Below are 20,200 nucleotides of genomic sequence, written 5' to 3'. Positions count from 1 at the left end.
AAATAAAAGTTGAAGAGAAAAAAAGTTCAGGAAATTTATGAAAAACAAAACCTCTTCAGGCCAGGCATAGGTAGCTCACGCCTGTAATCTTAGCACTTTGGGAGGCCAAGGTGAGCAGATCACTTGAGGTCAGGAGTTGGAGACCAGCCTGGCCAACATAGCAAAACACTGTTCTACTAAAAATACAAAAACTAGCCAGGCATGGTAGTCCATACCTGTAGTCCCAGCTACTCAGGAGGCTGAGGCACAAGAATAGCTTGAACAGGGGAGGCGGAGGTTGCAGTGAGCCAAGATCTTGCCCCTCACTCCAGCATGGGTAATTAAATGAGACTCTGTCTCAAAAACAAAAAACAAAACAAAACAAAAAAAAACAAAAAAAAAAACCCTTCAATATTTCTTAATTATAGTGGTCATAGGGAACACTCATATGAACATTCTGAAATCAGGGAAAAATAAAGCCTTAGTTATTTTGTGAAAGCAAAAAAAGCCAGCACCCTTTCTTTTTTCCCTTTTGGGAGCTAAACAGTAACCTTTAGGACATGCAAAAATAACTGCAACTATGGGGAAAATTAGAAAGTAACCATGCACACTCAGGAAAGGGGCAGGCTCAGAAGACCTTAAGTTTATACCACAGGCTGATCCTTGGCACTGAGAGACATCATCTACAACAATAAAAATAAAAACAATAACAAAAAACAGCAAACTTTGGGGAAGAAGCAAAATCTGAATTCCAGAATTACCACATTTTTAGGTCCTAATGTTCAGTTTTCAACAAAGAACATCCCAAGGCATATGAAGAAACAGAGAAGTATGACCCAAAGAAAAAAAAATAAATCAACAGAAAATGTCCCTGAAAAATATCTGATGGCAAATGTGCTAGACAAATAATTTTAAACAACTGTTTTAAAGATGTTCAAAAAACTAAACAAAGACATGGAGAAAGTCAAGAAAATGACGTAGGAACAAAATGAAAATATCAATAAAGAGACTGTATTACTCTATTCTCACACTGCTATAAAGATACTACCCGAGACTGGGTAATTTTTAAAGGAAAGAGGTTTAATTGACTTACAGTTCCACATAACTGGGGAGGCCTCGGGAAACTTACAATCATGGTGGAAGGTGAAAGGGAAGCAAGGACCTTTTTCCCATGGCAGCAGGAGAGAGAAGAGAGAAGGGCCCCTTATAAAACCATCAGATCTCATGAGAACTAACTCACTATCATGAGAAGAGCATGGGGGAAACCACTCCCTGATTCAATCATCTCCCTCCCTCGACATGTGGGGATTATATGTCTCTCCTTTGACATATGGGGATTACAATTTAAGATGAGATTTGGGTGGAGACACAGAGCCAAACAATATTGAGATAGACAACCTAAAAAAAATTCTGTAAAACACAAGAACAAAACTGAAATGAAAAATCTATTAGAGGGATTCAAAGGCAGATTTAAGCAGGCAGAAAAATCAGCAAACTTGAAGATAGGCTAACAGAAGTTATCAAGTCTGGAACAGAAATAAAAAACATTAAAGAAAAGTGAATAGAGCCTATGGGACCTGTGGAACACCATCAAGTGAACCAACATACACATTGCGGGAGACCCAGAAGCAGAAAAGAGAGAACATGTGAAGAAATAATGGCTTCAAACTTCCCAAATTTGGTGAAAGGCATGAATATAAACATTCAGGAATGTCAGTGAAAGTCAAGAAAGATGAATTTTAAAAGATTCATGCTGAGACACATTACAATCAAACAGTGAAAATCCAAAAACAAAGAGAAAATATTGAAAGCAGCAAGAGAGAAGAGAGAAACACATAAAGGATTCTTAGTATGATTATCAGCAGGTTTCTCATCAGAAACTTTGGAAACCAGGAGGCAGGGCAGTGGGCCCATATATTCAAAGTGCTAAAAGGAAATAATCTGTTACCAAGAATTCTATATCTAGCAAAACTGTCTTTTAAAAGTAAGGGAGAAATTAAGATATTCCCAAATAAGCAACAGCTGAGAGAGTTTATTATCATTAGAACTGCCCTGTGAGAAATGCTCATTTTCATTTCACTCTTAAGAAAGTCCTGCAGGGTGAAATGAAAAAATACTAGACAGTAACTTGAAGCCATATGAAGAAATACAGATCTGAATAAAGGTAAGTACATGGCCAATTATAAAAGCAAATATTATTGTAACAAATGTTCATAATGTGACTTTTTGTTTTCTAGAATATTAGAAACTAATACTTTTTTTAAAACACACAATTACTAGTCTAAAAGCTAATATTATTATAGCCATGGTTTGTAACTCTACATTCTGTTTTCACTTAATTGACTAATGAATTTAAAATCATTATTTGACATAATATAATTCTGTTTCAAGGCACACAATGTATTAAGATGTAATTTTGTGACATCAACAGCTGAAAGAGGTGGGTCTAACTCTATAGAAACCAGAGGTTTTGCATGTTACTGAAGTTATACTAGTAAAATTCAAATTAGAGTGTTATAACTTTAGGTCATTAAATGTAATCCCCATCGTAGCCACAAAGAATATAGCTGTGGGATATATACGAAACAAAATGAGAAAGAAATTTAAACACTTCACTACTAAAAAAAAAATCAAACACAAAAGAAGACAGTAATGCACAAATTAAGGGACAAAAAGAGCTGTAAAGCCATAGAAAACAAATAGCAAAATACAGAAACAGATGCTCCCTTATTGGTAACTGGCTATTTTAAATGTAAACTCTTTTGTAAACTTTGATAGAGAATTAAACTCTATATCAAAATGCAGAAATTGACAGAATGGATAACAGCAAATGATCCAACTATATGCTGTCTGTAAGAGAATCACTTCAGATTCAAAGACACAAATAGATTTAAAGTGAAAAAAAATAGAAAAAGATATTCCATGCAAATAGTAACCAAGAGATGGCAGGGGTGGTTATCCTAATGTGAGAATAAGTGGACTTTAAATTTAAAAAAAAAGAGTTATAAGAGACAAAACATTATATATTAATATGTTTCAATATAGCAAGAATATAGAAAAATTATGAACATATATGTACCTAATAACAAACCATAAATATATATGAAGCAAAAACTGATGGAATTGAAGAAAAACATAGTTTTACTAATAATAGTTGGATACTTTAATATTCCCCTCTGAATAATGGATAGAACAACTGCACAGAAGTAAAGAAGCAGAAGACTTAAAGGACACATAAAACCAACTAGATCTAACAGACATATACTGAACACTTTACCCAACAGCAATAGCATACATATTTCTCTTGAGACATTTGTGATATTTTCCAGTATAGACCATATTTAGGCCACAAATTAAGTATCAGTACATTTTAAAAGATAGATTTCATACAGGGTACCCTCTCTGACTATAATGGGATGAAGTTAGAAATCTGTAAGAGAAGTAAAGTCAGAAAAAATTAAAAATTTGTGGAAATTATACAATGTACTCTTAAACAATGGATCAAAGAAAAAAATCACAAAGGAAATTGAAAAATATTGACAAATTTAAATGAAAACACAACATAACGAAACTTATGGGACATAGCAAAAGCAGTGCTAAGGAGAAAATGCACAGCTATAAATACATTAAAAACCTAGAAAGATCTCAAATTAACAACCTAACTTTAAAACTTAAGGAACTAGAAACAAACAAACAAACTAAACCCAAAGCTAGCAGAAGGAAAGAAATAATAATTAGAGATAAATAAAATAGAAAATAGAAAAATAATAGAGAAAGTAAATGAAACCAAAAGTTGGTTTTTTCAAAAGATCAACAAAATTGACAAACCTTTATTTAGATGGACTAAAAAGAAGGACTCAAACTATTACAATGATAATTGAGAGTAGAGAGATTACAAAGTATATAGAAATAAAAAAGATTATAAGGGAGCACTATGAATTACTGTATACCAACAAATTGGATAAGATAGATAAAATGGACAAATTCATAGAAACACAAAACCTATGAAGACTAAATTATAAAGATATAAAACACCTGAATAGGCCTATAACTAGTAAGGCAATTGAATCAATAATTTAAAATCTCCCAGTGAAGAAAAGTCCTGTACCTGATGGCTTTGCTGGTGAATTCTACCAAACATTTAAAAAAGCTAACACTAATCCTTCTCAAATTTTTGCAGGAAATTGAAGAAGGAGGATTTCCTAACTTATTCTATGAGGCCAGCATGACTTTGACACCAAAGCCAGAAAAAGATACTATAAGGGGAAAAACTACAGATGAATATACCTTATAAGCGTTGACACAAAAATCCTCAACAAAATTCAGCAGCCTATCAAAAGGATTATGTCAATGACCAAGTGAGATTTATTTCTGAAATGCAAGGATGGTTCAATATATGAAAATCAATTAATGTAATACATCACATTAACACAATTAAGGGAGTAAAACACATGATAATCTCAACTGGTACAGAAAAAAAACATTTGACAAAATTCAACACTTTTTCCATGGTTAAAACACTCAACAAACTAGGAATAGAAGAAAACTACCTCAACATAATAAAAACCATATATGAAAAACCAACAGTAAACATCATCCTTAATGGTAAAAGACTTAAATATTTCCTTCTAAGATCAGGAACAAGGAAAAGATGCCTCCTTTCACCACTTCTATTTAATACAGTATTGGAAGTTCTAGCCAGAGAAATCAGGTGATAAAAAGGACTAAAAGACATCCAAATTATAAAGAAGTAAAATTATCTGTTTGCAGATGATATGCTCTTTTATAGTATATAGAAAATTCTAAAGATTCCACCATGAAATAATTAGGACAAATGTATGAATTCAGCAAAGTAGCAGGATACAAAGTTGACACATAAAAATCAGTTGCATTTATATGCACTGACAATGAACAATCTGAAAAGAGAATTATGAAAACAATTTCATTTACAATCACGCCAAAAAGAATAAAATACTTAGGAATTAACTAAAAAACTCAAAGAATTATACAGCGAAAACAATAACACATTGCTGAAAGAAATTAGAGAAGACATAAGTAAATGAAAACACAGCCCAAGTTCATGAATTGAAAGACTTATTATAAAAAATGTCAATACTAACCCAAGGAGATCACAGATCCAATGCAGTTCCTACCTATCCAAATTTCAATGACTTTTTATTATTGCAGAAATAGAAAAACTCATGCTAAAATTTATATAAAATCTCAGGGGACCTCAAAGAGCCAAAGCAGTCTTGAAAAAAGAGAACATAGCTGGAAGACTCACACTTCCTGATTTTAAGACTTACCATAAAGCTATAGTAATCAAAACAGTGTGATACTGGCATAAAAATAAACTAATGGAATAGACAAGAAAGCCCAGAAATTAACTCTTGCATTACGGTCAAATGATTTTTGACAAGTATGTCGAAAACATTCAATGAGAAAAAGACAGTCTTTTCAACAAACGGCACTGAGAAAACTGGATATCCAGGTGGAAAGGAATGAAGCTGGACCCTTACCTAACACCATTTTCAAATTAACTGAACATGGATCAAAAAACTTACATGTAAGTACTAAAATACATTTTTTAGAAGCAAATGTAAGACAAAATCTTAACAACATTGGATTTGGCAATGATTTCTTGGATATGAAGCCAAAGGCATAGGCAACAAAAGAAAAACATAGACAAATTGAGCCTCATGAAAATGTAAAAATTGTGTGCATCAACACTATCAAAATGGGGGAGGTTAGGCATGTGTGGGAGCAGAGGACATATGGGAAATCTCTGTACCCTCCTGATTTTGCTGTGAACCTAAAACTTTTCTTTTAAATAAATATTTTTAAAAACCATCAAAGTAACAGCAACAACAACAAAAAAGACACTATCAACAGAGTAAAAAGGCAACCCACAGAATGGGAGAAAATAGTTGCAAATCATTTATCTGGGAAGAGATTAATATCCAGAATATACAGGGAACTTCTAAAACTCAACAATAACCAACAAACTAAATTCACAAATAGTCAAAAGACTTGAATAGACATTTCTTTAAAGAAGATATATAAATGACCAATACGCACATAAAAAGATGCGCACTGTCATTAATCATTAGGGAAATACAAATCAAAGCTATAATGAGATATCACCTCAACCAATTAGGATGGCTACTATCAAAAAACAGAAAATAACACATGTTGATGAGGTCGGAGAAACTGAAACCACGGTGCACTGTTAGTAGGTATATAAAATGGTACAGCTGCTGTGGAAAGCGATAGGGCAGTTTCTCAAAAAATTAAAAATAGAATTATCATATAATCCGGCAATTACACTTCTAGGTATATACCCAAAATAATTGAATGCAGGGTCTTAAAGAGATATTTGTACACCCATGTTCATGGTCAGCATTTTTCACAATAGCTAAAATGTGGAAGCCACCCAAGTGTTCATCAACGAATGAATAAGAAAAATGTGGTATATGTATACAGTAGAATATTATTCAGCCTTAAAAGGAAGGAGATTCTGCAATATGCTTTAACATGGATGGATCTTGAAGACATTAATGCTAAGTAAAATAAGCCAGTAGCAAAAACACAAATACTGTACAGTTATATATTACATAAGGTACTTAGAAGAGTCAAAATCATTCCATTGTTAATGGGAACAAAGTTTCAGTTTTACAAAAAAAAGTGATAGTCGCACAACATTATGAATGTATTTAATACCACTAAAATGCACACTTAAAAATTGGTAAGATTGTAAATTTTATGTTACATGTATTTTAAGATAATTTATAATTTTTTTAAAAGGAGCAATTAGAGAGCAACTCCATCTTTCTTCCACCAAGTCTACCATCCTTTTGGTATTGGTGCCCATGTGTCCACACTGTCTCCTGCTTTTATCCAGAGCCAACTCTTCCCTCATGCTCTGAACCCATCTGCTCTCACCTTCATGGACTTCAGTCTTGCAACTCGCCCCCCTTTCTTCTGCATTAATTGCCCCTCTCCTCTCTACTACACAAACAAGCTCCAGTATTATTTAATTTTGAAATAAAACTTTCGCTTGCCCACCAAAGCCTCATTTTTTTCTCACTTTTATAGCAAAACTTCTTCAGCTTCCTAATGTCACTTTCTCTATTTCCTGTCCTTTCCTGTCCTGTATTCTTTCTTCAAACCCACCCCTGTTAGGCTTCCAGTCCTACTGCTGCATTGAGACTACATTGGCCCGATGATTTTCATGTTGCTAGATCCAATAGTCTGTTCTCATATTACTCCCCCTCTCAGCATCCCACACAGTTGATCACTTTCTTCATCCCAAAATACTTTCTTTTCTTGGCTTTCATGATACCTTATTCCCCTGATCCTTCTCTTTCCTCACTGGTCACTTCTTCACAGACAACTGTGTCAACATTTCCTCTTCTACAATTCAAAATATTGCTAAGCCAAAGACCTTGGTGCCAGGCTCCCATCTCTATTCTACCTACACACTCCTTCCAGGTGACTACATCCGGTCTTGTGGCATTAACTACATTCCATATCCACTTTATTCTAAATTTTTATTGCTATCATGAACTTTTCCCTAGCCTAGATGCTTACATTCAAATACGTATATTCATTTATTTCACCCTTCAACTGGGAAGTTTAATAATTATCTAAAACATAACATGATAGGAAGATACCTACAGATAACCTATCCCCGTTACCCTGCTGCTTTTGAAACTTTCCCTCTTCAGTAAGTAGCCCCTAGTGTCTCACACCAAAAATCCATAAAGTAGCCTTGATTTCTCCCTATCATTCACCACAATATATAAAACATCATCAAATCCTCTCAGTTCCATCATCAAAATATATTCAAACCAACTCACTATCCTGCATCTCTACTGCTTCTACCCTAACAGAAGTCAATATCATTCTTACCCTTTTTGCCCTGCTTACAGTTTATTCACCACAGAGTGGCCACAGTTATTTTTAAATGCACAAATCACTTCATGTTACACCCCTTTGAAAACTCCTCCCACTGTTTTTTATGCTATCTGGAATAAAGGATACACTAAGTCCTTAGCCTGACTTTGAATTCCCTAAGTAATCTGGCCTCTGCCTCCCCCTCCAACCTCACCTAAGACCACTGTTCCCCCCAGTATCCTCTACCTGCACCAGCTTTCCTTTGGTTTCTCAGATTTTCAAGCTCATGGCCACCTTTGCCCTTGCTGCTCCTCTGCCTGGGATGCTGTTGCAGCAATCATCACAAGGCTGGTTCCTTCTTCTTCAGATCTCAGCTTAAATGCCACATTCGTGGTAAGGCAGTTTGTGGCTACATCTAAATTAGGCATTAGATGCTCTATCATTTCACTTCAGTATAATCCTCTGCATGGCACTTTAATGTATTCTTTTTGTGTGATTATATTCTCCTCCCCTACCCACTAGAAAGTGAGCTCTGTCCAAGCTTTTCTGACCATTCACCACTGACTATACCACGTGTGCCTACAACTGGCACATTCTAGAGATTAAGTAAATTTCTTGTTGAATAAGAAATGAGCTAAGATAGCTTTTGGGCTTCATAATTTAGCTATGAGGGGCCAGTGATGTGGTTAAAGGGGTATCATTTTCCACCCCTTCAGAAGGCCAGCCTCACCTCTTAATAGAACCCCAGTCCTTCATTCCACCGCATGTCCTCCCTTCTCTCCCAGCACTTCTCACCTGCACTGCGTCAATCGCCTTCTGATAACACTCCCTGTCCTCTTTCTTTCCCTGATCCAATCCATTCTACACATCACCACCAGAACTCTTGAAATTCTTTTGTCACCATATTGCTTTCCTGCCCTAAATCTTCACAAGTTTTCCACAGCTTACAGAATAAAGTTCAAAATCTTCAGCCTGAATCAAAGAATCTTTTACAATGACTGTGAAAGCTGCCTGTGAATATAAAAGAAACACCAAATATGTGTGGTCCAGCAGGTGGGACACTCTGAGCTGAGTTATGTCTCCTTTCCCTTCATAACTCAAGTGATTTTTTAAAGATGATAGCTGAAATTCAATGTCAAATGACCCCAGATAGTAGCCACTGCCCCGCCCCCAACCCACAATACCTGAGCAAGGCTCCACAGTAAGTATCACTACAGGTATCTGAGCTGAAGCCAAGCACATATGCACATCAAAATGCTTTTGAGAGTTTCACAAACACAAGGTTCTTCCCAAATCAATTTGAAAGGTTTACCAAGGCTCTATGATCATTTCTTTAGTAAAAGGCTTAGGTGGTTTTTGATGAGTGGTCTAGTATGTGTACACTCCTCCTTATATTCTTTTGATTCAAACCAGTATGGACAAGTTGTTCTGAATACTAAATGCACATTAGAATAATATGGGAAGCTTTAAAAAGAATACCAGTGCTGGAGCCCCACTGCAATTGAACTGAATCAGTGTCTCTGGGCTGAGACCCAAGCACCCAGGTTTTACAACAACTGTAAATCTATGACCCACTAATCGAGACATAAAATAGAATGAACTTGCAGGAAGGAAGACTCCAGGGAATCCTAGCACTTCCTAAAATATTAAGAATCAAAGTTTAAAAAACTACGTCGGCCAAGGGGAGGGCAAGGGGGGGGGGGGATAGGGAGATGACTAAGATAATTAGCATAGTAGCTGATATTTGATAACATATGATGCCAGTCACTGCTCAAAATGCACTAACTTACTTATCTTCACTGCAATCCTATGAGGAAAGTATTATTGCTTATCCCCATTTTACAGATGAAGAATCCGAGTCATAGAGAGAAGGTTAAGTAATTGCCCAAGGTCAGCAAGGTAAAGCTGTGACCTGAACCCAAGAAAGCTGACTTTAGAACCCTACCTTATCTGCCACTAATAGCAGCAGCATGCATTTACTTAGGCCTTATTGAGTACAAGGTGCTCTTCTGAGTGTTTTATACATATTATCTCACAAGACTGTTGTAAAGATTAAATGAGATAATATGTATAAAATACCTAGAACAGCACCTTGTACTATTAGTCTATTATCTCCAGTTTACACATAAGGACACTGAAGCACATGTGGGTTAAGCCACTTGACCAAGCACTCTACCAGGAATGGGAACTGGGAACATCCTTTGCTGTCCTCCTGGAGCTCCATGCTGCAGCTGTTCTCCTGGGGATAAGGCAGGTGCACTCAAAGTTTGCCTGTTCTCAAGAAAATTATTGACAGCTTCTTGGTGCTACCATATTCATTCTTTATTTTAATTTTAAAAGCCTGAAAGCCTGCTTATGAAGGTGTTAGGGAGCCCACAGCAGATGTTTGATTAGTAGTACACATGGGGTTGATGGGAGCAGGGTCCCCTCAGCCCCTCATAGAGGCAGAATTCCCTAGCTGGGAATTCTGAAGTGGATCTTTCTACAAGAAGCCAGACTGCATATGTATCAGACAAAAATCGCAGGCCCTTACCAAGTCCCCTCCTGTGGTTCCTTGGTCCCTCCCCATCCTGTGTGCCAAGTTCTCATGTGCCTCATGTGCCTAGTCCTCATGTGCCTCATGTGCCTAGGACAGGCTGCTCATAATGCTCATCAGAGCTCCTCGAACCCTCCTCCTCCTTCCATTAATATGTACCTTCTTTTCTATTCTAAAACTGCTCAAATGGATCAAGAAAGTATAATTTTAAAATATCCAACCTCTGTCCAGGAGAGTCTTTTTTTTTTTTTTTCCACCTAGGCGGGAATTCAGTGGCACCATCAAGGATCACTGCAGCCTTTACCTCCTGGACTCAAGCAATACTCCCACCTCAGCTTCCTGAGTAGCTGGGTCTACAAGCACCATGGCTTTGAGGGAAAGACAGGAATTAATAATGGAAATTAGAGGTACCTTGGTCAAGTTGAAAAGTTTATATTCAGTTTTACAGGCAAGAGGGAGCCATTGCTGGTTTTGAGCAGAACAAAGTCGTGGGTCCTACTTTAGAAAATCGATCTGGCAGTGATACGTAGAATGAATTGGAGCAGAGAAAAGAACAGTTGGTTGGAACATGGTGCTGTGAAGCCAAAGGCTTGGGAACGTTGGCACAGATCATGCGGATTCATCAGTACAAGCCATTCTTGCTGCTAAAAAGCCGGTCAAAGAGCACATCTAACTGATGGATTTGTATTAGGAGGACAGCACTTAAAATATGTGTCTACTCTGAGCTGCTTTTATCTTCAGATACCATGTTAGGAAAAAGCTTCCATACCTCTGTCATTACTGAGTTACTAGCCTCCTTGGTGCATTAAATCTTCTATTTTCAGACCTGAATGTCCTGGGCAAGTAACTCTATTTCACAAGGATGGGGATGCTATTTCATCTCTCTTTATGTGATGCAGGGCTGGATCCAGGCAGAACTTTCTGCAGAACCCTTCTGTTACCACCTCCCCCATGATTTGTCCCTTTCCTCTCCTTGCTTACTTTATCCATCTCTGACCCCACTCCAGGACACTCTATCCAGCAGAAGAATGATCCTTTCTCCCTGCCCATCCCCCTCCATTGTGGCTGACATCTCACCACCTTGACCCAAGCATTCACTTGGGTGACATTAGCTGTACTTTGATCTCTGACTCTGGCACAGTGACCAACAAATTTAGGGGCAAATAATTTCAGAAGCAAAGAATAAAAAATTCTTTGGCTGTGTTTATGAGTCACTGTGGCTGCAGGAATCTTCAGCTCTGCAGAATTCTGTATTTCCAGTGTTTTATTTCTAAACTTGAATAAAGCCAGGTTAGGCTACTATGTTCTAGTTCATGAACTTCTCCCATCAGACAGGCTGGGTAGAGATAAGAGAAATCAGGGGATCTTGTTCCTATGAGAGGGACTTTTCTGACCCCTTGGCCAAGTTTTGCCATGATCTGCAAGTTCCACCATCTCTGCTGTTGAACGTAGTGTTAATCATTCTCACGGCCCGCTTAGGTTTTGATCTGGGTCCTGAGTTTACGCATATTCTTTCGCAGACACACAAGGGTAGGAGGACCTCAATCAAATCCTGCCAAATTGTGGCTACTGTGTATTGTTATGGAAAGCAGTACAGGTTACAATCAATAGTTTGGGCAACTGAGATTTTCTTAATGATTTGGGGGATAAAATTGCTGACTCATTATTCAGACTGCAACCTCCCTTCCACTGTTACCCCAAGAGCAGCGAATTGGGCTTTCAGAATTTTCCTCTGCCAACTGCGCACGTCAAGAAGGCTCTGAGAGTCACTTTTTCCTTCCAATTCTTTTTGTTTTTCTTTGCTGAAAATCACCCTGTTTCTCTTCCTTTCTTTAACTTGCTGACTTCTCACCCTCACAACACTCTGTTCCTTTTAGAGTATCCCCTATCTCAGCCAATGGTAGCATCATTTACCCAGGAACCCAAGGTAAAATCCTGGAAGTTATCCTAGACTAGTGGTTCTCAAACTTGAGCTTGCATCAGAACTAGCAGGGCTTGTTAACACACATACTGCTGAACTCCAGCCTCAGTGTTTCTGATTCAGTAACTGGTTCACAAGGTCTGGGGTTGCCCCCAAATTTGCATTTCTAATACATTCCTATGTGTTGTTGCTGCTGCTGCTCCACCTATCACACTTTAAGAACCACTGTTCTAGAAACCTGCTCTTTTCCCCTTTCTTCCTATACCACAAATAACTAATCAGGTTCCATTGATTTATGTCTCCAACTTAGTCTATCTTCTCCCTGGAACTACTGTCCTAGGTCAGGCCTTTGCCATTCTTTCTTAAGCTCTTGAAATCACCTGTAAGCCACACCTCTCTACCTCCAGTCTTGCCTCTTAAATATATATAGCTAGTGAAACGATCTCTCTAAAACACAGATCAGGCCCCATTTTTTCCTTAATGACAACCCTTCAGTGGCTTTTACGCTACCAACAGAACAATGGTTAATTTCTTCAGCATGGCAGGCAATGCCCCTTGTGACCTGGCCCTGTTTACCTCTGCATTCTCATTTTGGCACTACCCCCGTGCTAACCAAGTGCTAAAAGTCCCCAGCATACAGCATGCAGTTTCTTGTTCTCTCAGACGCTGCCATTTTGTCTAGACCTGTCTTCCTGTCTGTACATCTTGGCTATTAGCTCAGCCTTCCATTGTCCAGATACCCTTCCTTTATAATCCCCATAGTGACTGCAGTGACCCCACGCAGCTCTCCCAGGGTCCCCTAGCACATCTCTACACTATTTCTGAGCACATTATATTGAAATTTCCTGTTTGCATGTCCTCTTGTGGCAGGAAATTTATCAAGTTTTATCTCTAGCACCTAGCTCAATGAATGCTTGCTGAGCTGAATTTCCTCACCAAAATTCCTTCTCCCCTTCTCCTGGTACTGGGCCTGGCTCTGCTTTTCCCCTACACACACTTCCCTCTTGATCTTCACAGAAGAGATTAAAGATCTCAGAAGGGCCAGTGATGGCTGAGATTCAGCCCACCGGCAGCATTTCTTAGTCACTCTGTGAAGTCTAGTTATATTTTCTCATGCATCCTTAATAAAACAACAGCTCTACTTTGCACAAAATCAGCCTTTCTCTTCAAAGACTTTAGGGAGCTTTACAGCTCTGGCTATGATATCCTAAGTGGAACACTGTGTGGTAAGGAGAGGCCAAAAAGAGATGAAAGTGGCACATTTAAAGGCCAAAACCCAAATCAAATACATTTCTTGTGCTGTGTTTATGAGTCACTGTGGTTACAGAAATCTTTAGCTCTGCAGAATCCTGTATTTCTAGTGTTTCATTTCTAAACTTGAATAAAGCCAGGCTAGGCTAGTGTGATGTTCCAGTTTCTGAGCTTCTGACCTCAGACAGGCTGGGTAGAGATAATAGAAATCAGGCACAATCCCAAATGAGAAAATGTTTCATTTGCCTCCCCTTCCTCAGGTTTTGTTTTAGCTTTCTGAGTAGGAAATTACACATTCAGAGAAAGATGCCCCTAACTTCTTAGCCATCTATATGATGTTAATAGATGAAAATTTCGATCCTAAAAATGTGAATGGGAGAAATTGTTAAGATTGGGTAGAGGCTAATGTAATATTCGGGATTAAAGTTTTTAAGTAGGCAAGATGAATAAATTTTGGAAATTAATCAAACAACTGACAATGTTTCACCAAAGTATTTTATGTGTTTAATATACACTGTGCACATTCTCCTACAGGCATATGCAAATGTATAAACTTAACATATTAAATAGCAGACTAGGGGATGAGAAGCACTTTAGTGTATAAAATATTATTATTTTCATTATTGTTATAGCAAACTTGAACACTCTTTACTGGAATCATTATTTGCTTGGAGAAATTTGCTGAGTTTGGCAATTTTCCACTGTCATTATGAATTTCTCTTTGTCAGGCAGCAGGGCCTCTGGAAGAGAGAAGGGTAAGTAATTCAGACAACTGGTTAGAAAAGAATCCTGTTTTTTTTTTTTATCAGTTTCTTTGGCCTGAATGCTGAATCTTTTGGCCATGAATTGTCTGAACCACCTGTCCCACACCGTCCATTTCTGAGAAATAGTCACTGCATTCTTCTCTAGGTTGTCAGAGGCTGAGAGGACAATAAATGGAGATAGCCAAGGATTCTTTCCAGCAAGAACTGTCTTGATCTATAGGCATCAGAGATAAGAGAAGCCCTGGGTGCTTTGTTCTAACAGGCTACTGAGGAATGATCATGGGTGCTGACCTTGAAATGCTGATGGAAACTCAACTCAAGTTGTGACATAGCAGTCTGCTTAACCAGCAGGGCAGAGCATTTCTCCAGCGCTCTTTCAAGAGGACTGTTAGTTGCATCCTGGTGTGCAGACTCAACCAACAGGAGGAAGAATAGACAAATAGTTCTTGTTCATTGCTGTTTTGGGGGCCCTTTTGAGTTAAGCTTAGTTTTGTTTTCTTAATGTCAAATCTGGCTGCTACAGTTTTGTATATGGTCATCTCACTTTCTAATTCTAGGTTTGCAAACATGAATGAGAAAATATCCAGCCAAGTATTTGGTGCTATCTGGCTTAGGAGCCATTGACCCAAATAACTGGTATCTCACAATGTGGATGACAAGGACCATAAACCAGCAGCACCCAATCCACTTGGTAAGGGTTTTTAAACAATGGGGTATAGTTATTTTTACTAATGAATATTTTACAAATAAAAACATTTGTGCTGACCTAGTTGAAATTTGGCAGATGTGACTGTTCCAAACTCAGCAAAGGGATATTAAAATAATGAATTCAATAAAGGAGTGTTACTTTCTTAATTCAAAATTGTTTATTAACTTTATTGGTATTTAATTTTTTTCCTTTTAAAATTAATTCCATTTAGTTGAAAGGTCAGAATTATGGTTCTCTCTATATTGGGGCATATCACCCTCACCAAATTATAGACACACAGGTTAGGCCACAATTGGGCAGTCTTTCTTGCTTGAACTGTAAGAGGCACAGGAATTAACACCATTGTATTCATGAGAAGAAGTAGAAGAAGAGGGAAAGAACATTTGTTTGGAGTAACAGTTACATTAAAAAATCTGAAGCTCCATAAATCACAGAACATTTAACAAAGAATCTGACTTTTCACTGCTTTACCACTCCCCTTCACCCCATCTATTTCCTTTGTGTATTCTAAATTAGGATGTATTCCAACAGTTATCATAATAGCTCTCATTTATGCACCCCTTGCATTGCGCTACTTATTTTATATATATTTACCTCTTAAAGCCATAAAATAATCTTATGAAATGTATCATGTTTCAGCCCCATTTTACATAAAACTGAGGCACAGAGAAGCTGAAAACCTTGCCCAGTATCACAAAGCTAATAAGTGAAGGAGTCAAGACTTGAATCTAGGTAGTTCGGCCAAGAAGGGATTAACAAAGTGCCACTATTTTCCTAGCCATAGTGCAGTATCTCCGTTGGCCAAAGGAAAAGGGGGAAATTTGGATCCCCCAGATAGGATTAAATAGTAGAATTGGTCAGGTTCCCAGACTCTGGGGGCTGTGGCCATAAGTGATCTCTCTGCTACCCCATGCTCAGAAAAAGGAAATGACCAGTCAAGACAAGAAATGCTTGATTCTAATAGGGTGTGGTAGTCTCTTCAAGACGGTCCTCTGAAATCCCCACCTCCTGGTAGTCATACTCTCATGCAGTTTGTTCCATTTTGTGGCAGTCATACTCTCATGCAGTCTGTTCCATTTTGTGGCAGAGTTGGTCTGGGACCAACAGCAAATGGCAGAAGTTATGGTATGTCACTCTCAAGGTAGATTACAATGGACCGCGGCTTCTGTCTAGGTTGTTCTCTTGTGTGTGCTCAGATTGTGGGCTTTGGGAAGCCAGAAGCTGTATCACAAGGACATTCAGGAGCCTATGGAGTCACCAGCCTGAGGAGGAGCTGCAATCTGCAGCCAATAGCTAGTGAGGATCTGAGGTCTGCTGACAACCATGTGAGGGAGCTCAGAAGCAGATTTTCCAGCCCCAGTCAAGCCTAGAAATGATTGCAGCCTGGCCGAAAACTTGATTAGTCAGAAGCACTTAGCTAAGACACTTCTGGATTCCTGACCCTCAGAAACTGTGAGATAATAAATGTTATTTAAGCTGACAAATTCTGGAATAATGTTGTTATTCAGCAATATATAGCTAATACATAAGGTGTGAAGAAGCAGTTATATAAGTTAGTATCGGTGCCAGGGGAAAGGAGGACCACTATGATCTGAGGAAGGAAATGGGTGTCCAAATGCAGGAGTGTGGCCCCACTGTTTAGAAGTTGCATCTGTGTGAGTCTCCATGGGAAATAAGGTATAGAACTCAGTAAGGATCCAGCTAAGACACATGGTAAATTGTGCAGGTGCCTCTCAGTTTTTCCTCATTTGCAGGATGTGCTGTATTGAGGTGGGAATGAGCTAAGCTGTGACTAGGAAGGCCTGTCTGTGATCCCTGGAGAAAGCACTATTGACTTACCAGCCTCTGCAGTCCCTCAGTTAAAACAGAAGCTTCAGAACAGCAGGGACAGCTGAAGTGGTTCTGCGCCACACCCAGAGAAATCAGTCTCAAATAAGATCACCCAGGGCCCACTTTACTCCAGAGGAAGAGTGGAGGAAGCATGGGCACCTTCGTCCACCTTGCAGAAAGCACTGACCTGGATTCTGAGGTGCGGCCCTGATCCCAGGAGTATTTGTTTCCCTGGACAGCTGTAACAAAGGATCACAAACCTGGTGGCTTAACACAACACAAATTTACTCCCTTGCAGTTCTGGAGGCCACAATTCCAAAGGCACAGAGTCAGCAGGGCCATGCTCCTTCAAGGGTGCTAGGGAAGAATCCTCGCTTGGCTCTTTCAGTTTCCGGTGGTTGCCTGCATCCAGGGCTCTCCTTCCCTCGAAGCTGCATCACTCCAATTTCTGCCTCTCTCTTCATGTGATGTTCTCTTCCTGTGTCTGTGTCTCTGTGTCCAAACTGCCCTACTCTTAAAATGATACCAGTTGTATAGCATTTGGTACCTACCGTATCTTTTTTTTTTTTTTTTTTGGAGACGGAGTCTTGCTCTGTCACCCAGGCTGGAGTGCAGTGGCACAATCTCAGCTCACTGCAAGCTCCGCCTCCCGGGTTCACGCCATTCTCCTGCCTCGGCCTCCCGAGTAGCTGGGACTACAGGCGCCTGCCACCATACCCGGCTAATTTTTTGTATTTTTAGTAGAGACGGGGTTTCACCGTGTTAGCCAGGGTGGTGTCGATCTCTTGGTACCTACTGTATGCTAATGTGATTATGTCTGCAAAGGTCACATACAGAGGTTCAGGTGGAGATGAATTTCGGGGAGACACTAACGACACTGACGTGATCGGTTCTCAAATATACCTCCTCCTTGTCATTGATTCCTGGCAACTGTGGTCCTGGCAACTTCTTCCCTGGCTCCTTCCACAGACTGAGCTTCCATTTCTCTGATCTCTGCTTACCTGCCTTCCCAGACTCCCTCTGCTCATCTCTCTACCCAGCCAGAGGTGCAGAGCAGACAGTCAACATGGCTCTGGTCTAGAATTGAGGAGAACAAGGATATCTCCTTGGGCTCTGTCGTTATGGTGTGATTTTAACTTCCGGGGTGATCAGATTTTCTGTCTATAAGATGGTTAGGTATCTGTGCTACATCTGTTATGACTAAGCAGTATGTTGGTTACACACAGTCCCTGAGTTCCATGCCACCAGTATTATTGGAGAAACTGGCTGTCATCATTCAGTATTAGCCTCTTCTTTCCCTTCAACAGATTAATATTGCTAACCTATTGCCTCTCTTTTAGATCTTCCTATTTTTCCTCCTGTTTAGCCAGATCCTGGTAAGCACACACAGGTTCCTGGCAGAGAAGTGACCCCGACATCACCACAACCTCCCACATCGGGAGACTAGAGCCTCTGGTCCAGCATCTTTCACCTCACAGAAAAGCATGGCCTTCACATTGAGGGAGGATTCAAATGTCTCCCAATTCTTCCAAACCCTGGCTTACGGACTCTCGTTTCCTTTCTGAAAGGCTCTGAGCTCCCGGCTTCCCACTGGCCCTTTTAGCCATTCCCTGTCCTCTTCCACCAACCCCCACTGCCACCCTCCTTACAGAGTATTCTGTCTCTGAGCAGAGCCTGCCAAGGCTGAGCAGGTTTGAAGGAAGCTCACCATAGCCCAGCCATGGATGGGGAGCATGGGGAGGGGTGGGCAGCCCAGCCTGGCCTGTGCAGGCTATGTGGCTGCACGGCTGAGAGTTCCTTGCCTGCAGCCTTCTCTCAGCAGGCTCCCCTCTGTGAGAAGCCCCTGACAATGTGTTCCCATTAGAGTGAGGTGTGAACCTGAGCTCTGAGTTCCAGCCCCGAAGCCTCAGGGAAGCAGGGAGAGCAGTGGCCTGTTCGTTTGGGAGGCCACACACTGCTGTATTTCCAGTTTTATTTCTGGTGTCTGGTCATTCCAGGTAACACTAGGGTGGGAGGACATCACATAGCTGACAGTTCACCTCCTCAAGGAGTAGCATCTCCACCCCAGCACAGGCTCAAAGGGCCAAGGTCAGACTGCAGAAACGGCAAGGAAAGAGAGCCAGGGACGCGCCTGGACTGAGTGCCCGCAGCACTCCACCTCACAGCCTTCACTATCAGTCCTAACTGGAAATGGCAGGTTATTCTCTAGTGAGGCAAGGAGGAGAGCATTTTGTTCACCTTCTGTGAAAAAGAGAGGAAACATCTGAGAAGAAAAAGAGAATGATTTGCCAAGTCATTTGCCTGAGGAGGAAGTGGAGCTCAACAAGATGCAAAAATTCTTCCTCGCTCCTTTAGTGTCACTTGTGGAGAGCGTGTCCCTGACTGTGCAACTGTGGGTCCCAGCACTGCAGTCTGGGAATGCTTCGAGTAGTGGCAAGGCAGCCAGGAAAGACACTCTGAGGGAGGTACAGGCTCCAGGGTGTTCTGAAGGGGAGACAAAGATGTAACCAGTCCACGTGACTGATGAGAGACTCAAAATTACGGTACAGGGAATAGGAGGTGGGGGCTGAGTCCAAACCTCCCCTCAGGATACAGGGCTTGGTCTGAAGACTCGCTGGAGACCTGTGTCTGGACCAGGAGCCTGTCTAGCAATAACCGAGGGGACAACACACTGCTAGGGATGAGCCAGGCTGATGCACCTTCCAGCTGGGAAGCACTGAAAGATACAGAGATGCCACTCATCCCTCTCAGTTCTGCTTCCCCCCATGGACCTTACCAGGGACTCTGTATGTATAGCACAGCATGCAGTTTACCTGTTTGTGTGTGATATGCCTCCCCCAACCATAGTGAAAACTCCACAAGGGCAAGTTTTTTGGTCCATATTATGTCGGCACCTGGCACACAGCAACACTCAATAAATATCTTTGGAATGTATTAATAAAGGAGGCCTGTAATTGTGAGACATGACAAATCATCTTTTTGAGCAAAACGTAAGTAAGGATTGCATACTATTTTATTTCTTTACAAATTCACTAGTATCTGGTGTTGAGGGCAAAAAGGTGTTTAAAAAGAGAAATCCAGCAATCCAGGAAAAAAAAAAAAAACCAGAGAGCCAGAAATCCAGATTATAACTTCGTTTCTCAGTGCCCAAAGTAACTAAATTCAGCCTTTACTCTGAAACTTGAAGAGTCATTTTGCTTCACAGAGCACCACTTCTAGAAGCATGAGGCATTTGATATCACTGTCTCTGCTTCCAAGGATTTATAACTGAGAATTTCCTATGTTAAACCATATAGATAAGCTTGATCAACAGC

The 20,200-nt window shown here is 39.9% G+C and overlaps 5 annotated features.

Moving 5' to 3' along the window:
- Positions 16,245-16,445: a silencer, noted in NCBI's record as "peak1577 fragment used in MPRA reporter construct". NCBI's record gives its function as "represses an SCP1 promoter by STARR-seq MPRAs in K562 erythroleukemia cells {active_cell/tissue: K562}" and the evidence as "EXISTENCE:reporter gene assay evidence [ECO:0000049][PMID:32103011]".
- Positions 18,277-18,776: an enhancer, noted in NCBI's record as "H3K4me1 hESC enhancer chr12:13652065-13652564 (GRCh37/hg19 assembly coordinates)". NCBI's record gives its function as "activates a minimal SCP1, AML or CMV promoter by ChIP-STARR-seq in naive H9 embryonic stem cells {active_cell/tissue: H9 hESC(naive)}" and the evidence as "EXISTENCE:reporter gene assay evidence [ECO:0000049][PMID:30033119]".
- Positions 18,599-18,768: an enhancer, noted in NCBI's record as "experimental_26305 CRE fragment used in MPRA reporter constructs". NCBI's record gives its function as "activates a minimal promoter by MPRAs in K562 erythroleukemia cells, with activity observed for the introgressed 12:13652158 or rs35910789 variant allele {active_cell/tissue: K562}" and the evidence as "EXISTENCE:reporter gene assay evidence [ECO:0000049][PMID:34662402]".
- Position 18,683: a transcriptional cis regulatory region, noted in NCBI's record as "Neanderthal adaptively introgressed variant 12:13652158 (GRCh37/hg19 assembly coordinates) or rs35910789 in the experimental_26305 CRE". NCBI's record gives its function as "modulates activity of the experimental_26305 enhancer by MPRAs in K562 erythroleukemia cells {active_cell/tissue: K562}" and the evidence as "EXISTENCE:reporter gene assay evidence [ECO:0000049][PMID:34662402]".
- Positions 18,777-19,278: an enhancer, noted in NCBI's record as "H3K4me1 hESC enhancer chr12:13651563-13652064 (GRCh37/hg19 assembly coordinates)". NCBI's record gives its function as "activates a minimal SCP1, AML or CMV promoter by ChIP-STARR-seq in naive H9 embryonic stem cells {active_cell/tissue: H9 hESC(naive)}" and the evidence as "EXISTENCE:reporter gene assay evidence [ECO:0000049][PMID:30033119]".

The sequence above is a fragment of the Homo sapiens genome, chromosome 12 (genome assembly GCF_000001405.40).
Source record: "Homo sapiens chromosome 12, GRCh38.p14 Primary Assembly".
NCBI lineage: Eukaryota > Metazoa > Chordata > Mammalia > Primates > Hominidae > Homo > Homo sapiens.
Note: the sequence above shows the minus strand (reverse complement) of the source record. Positions and strands in the feature narration are given on the sequence as shown.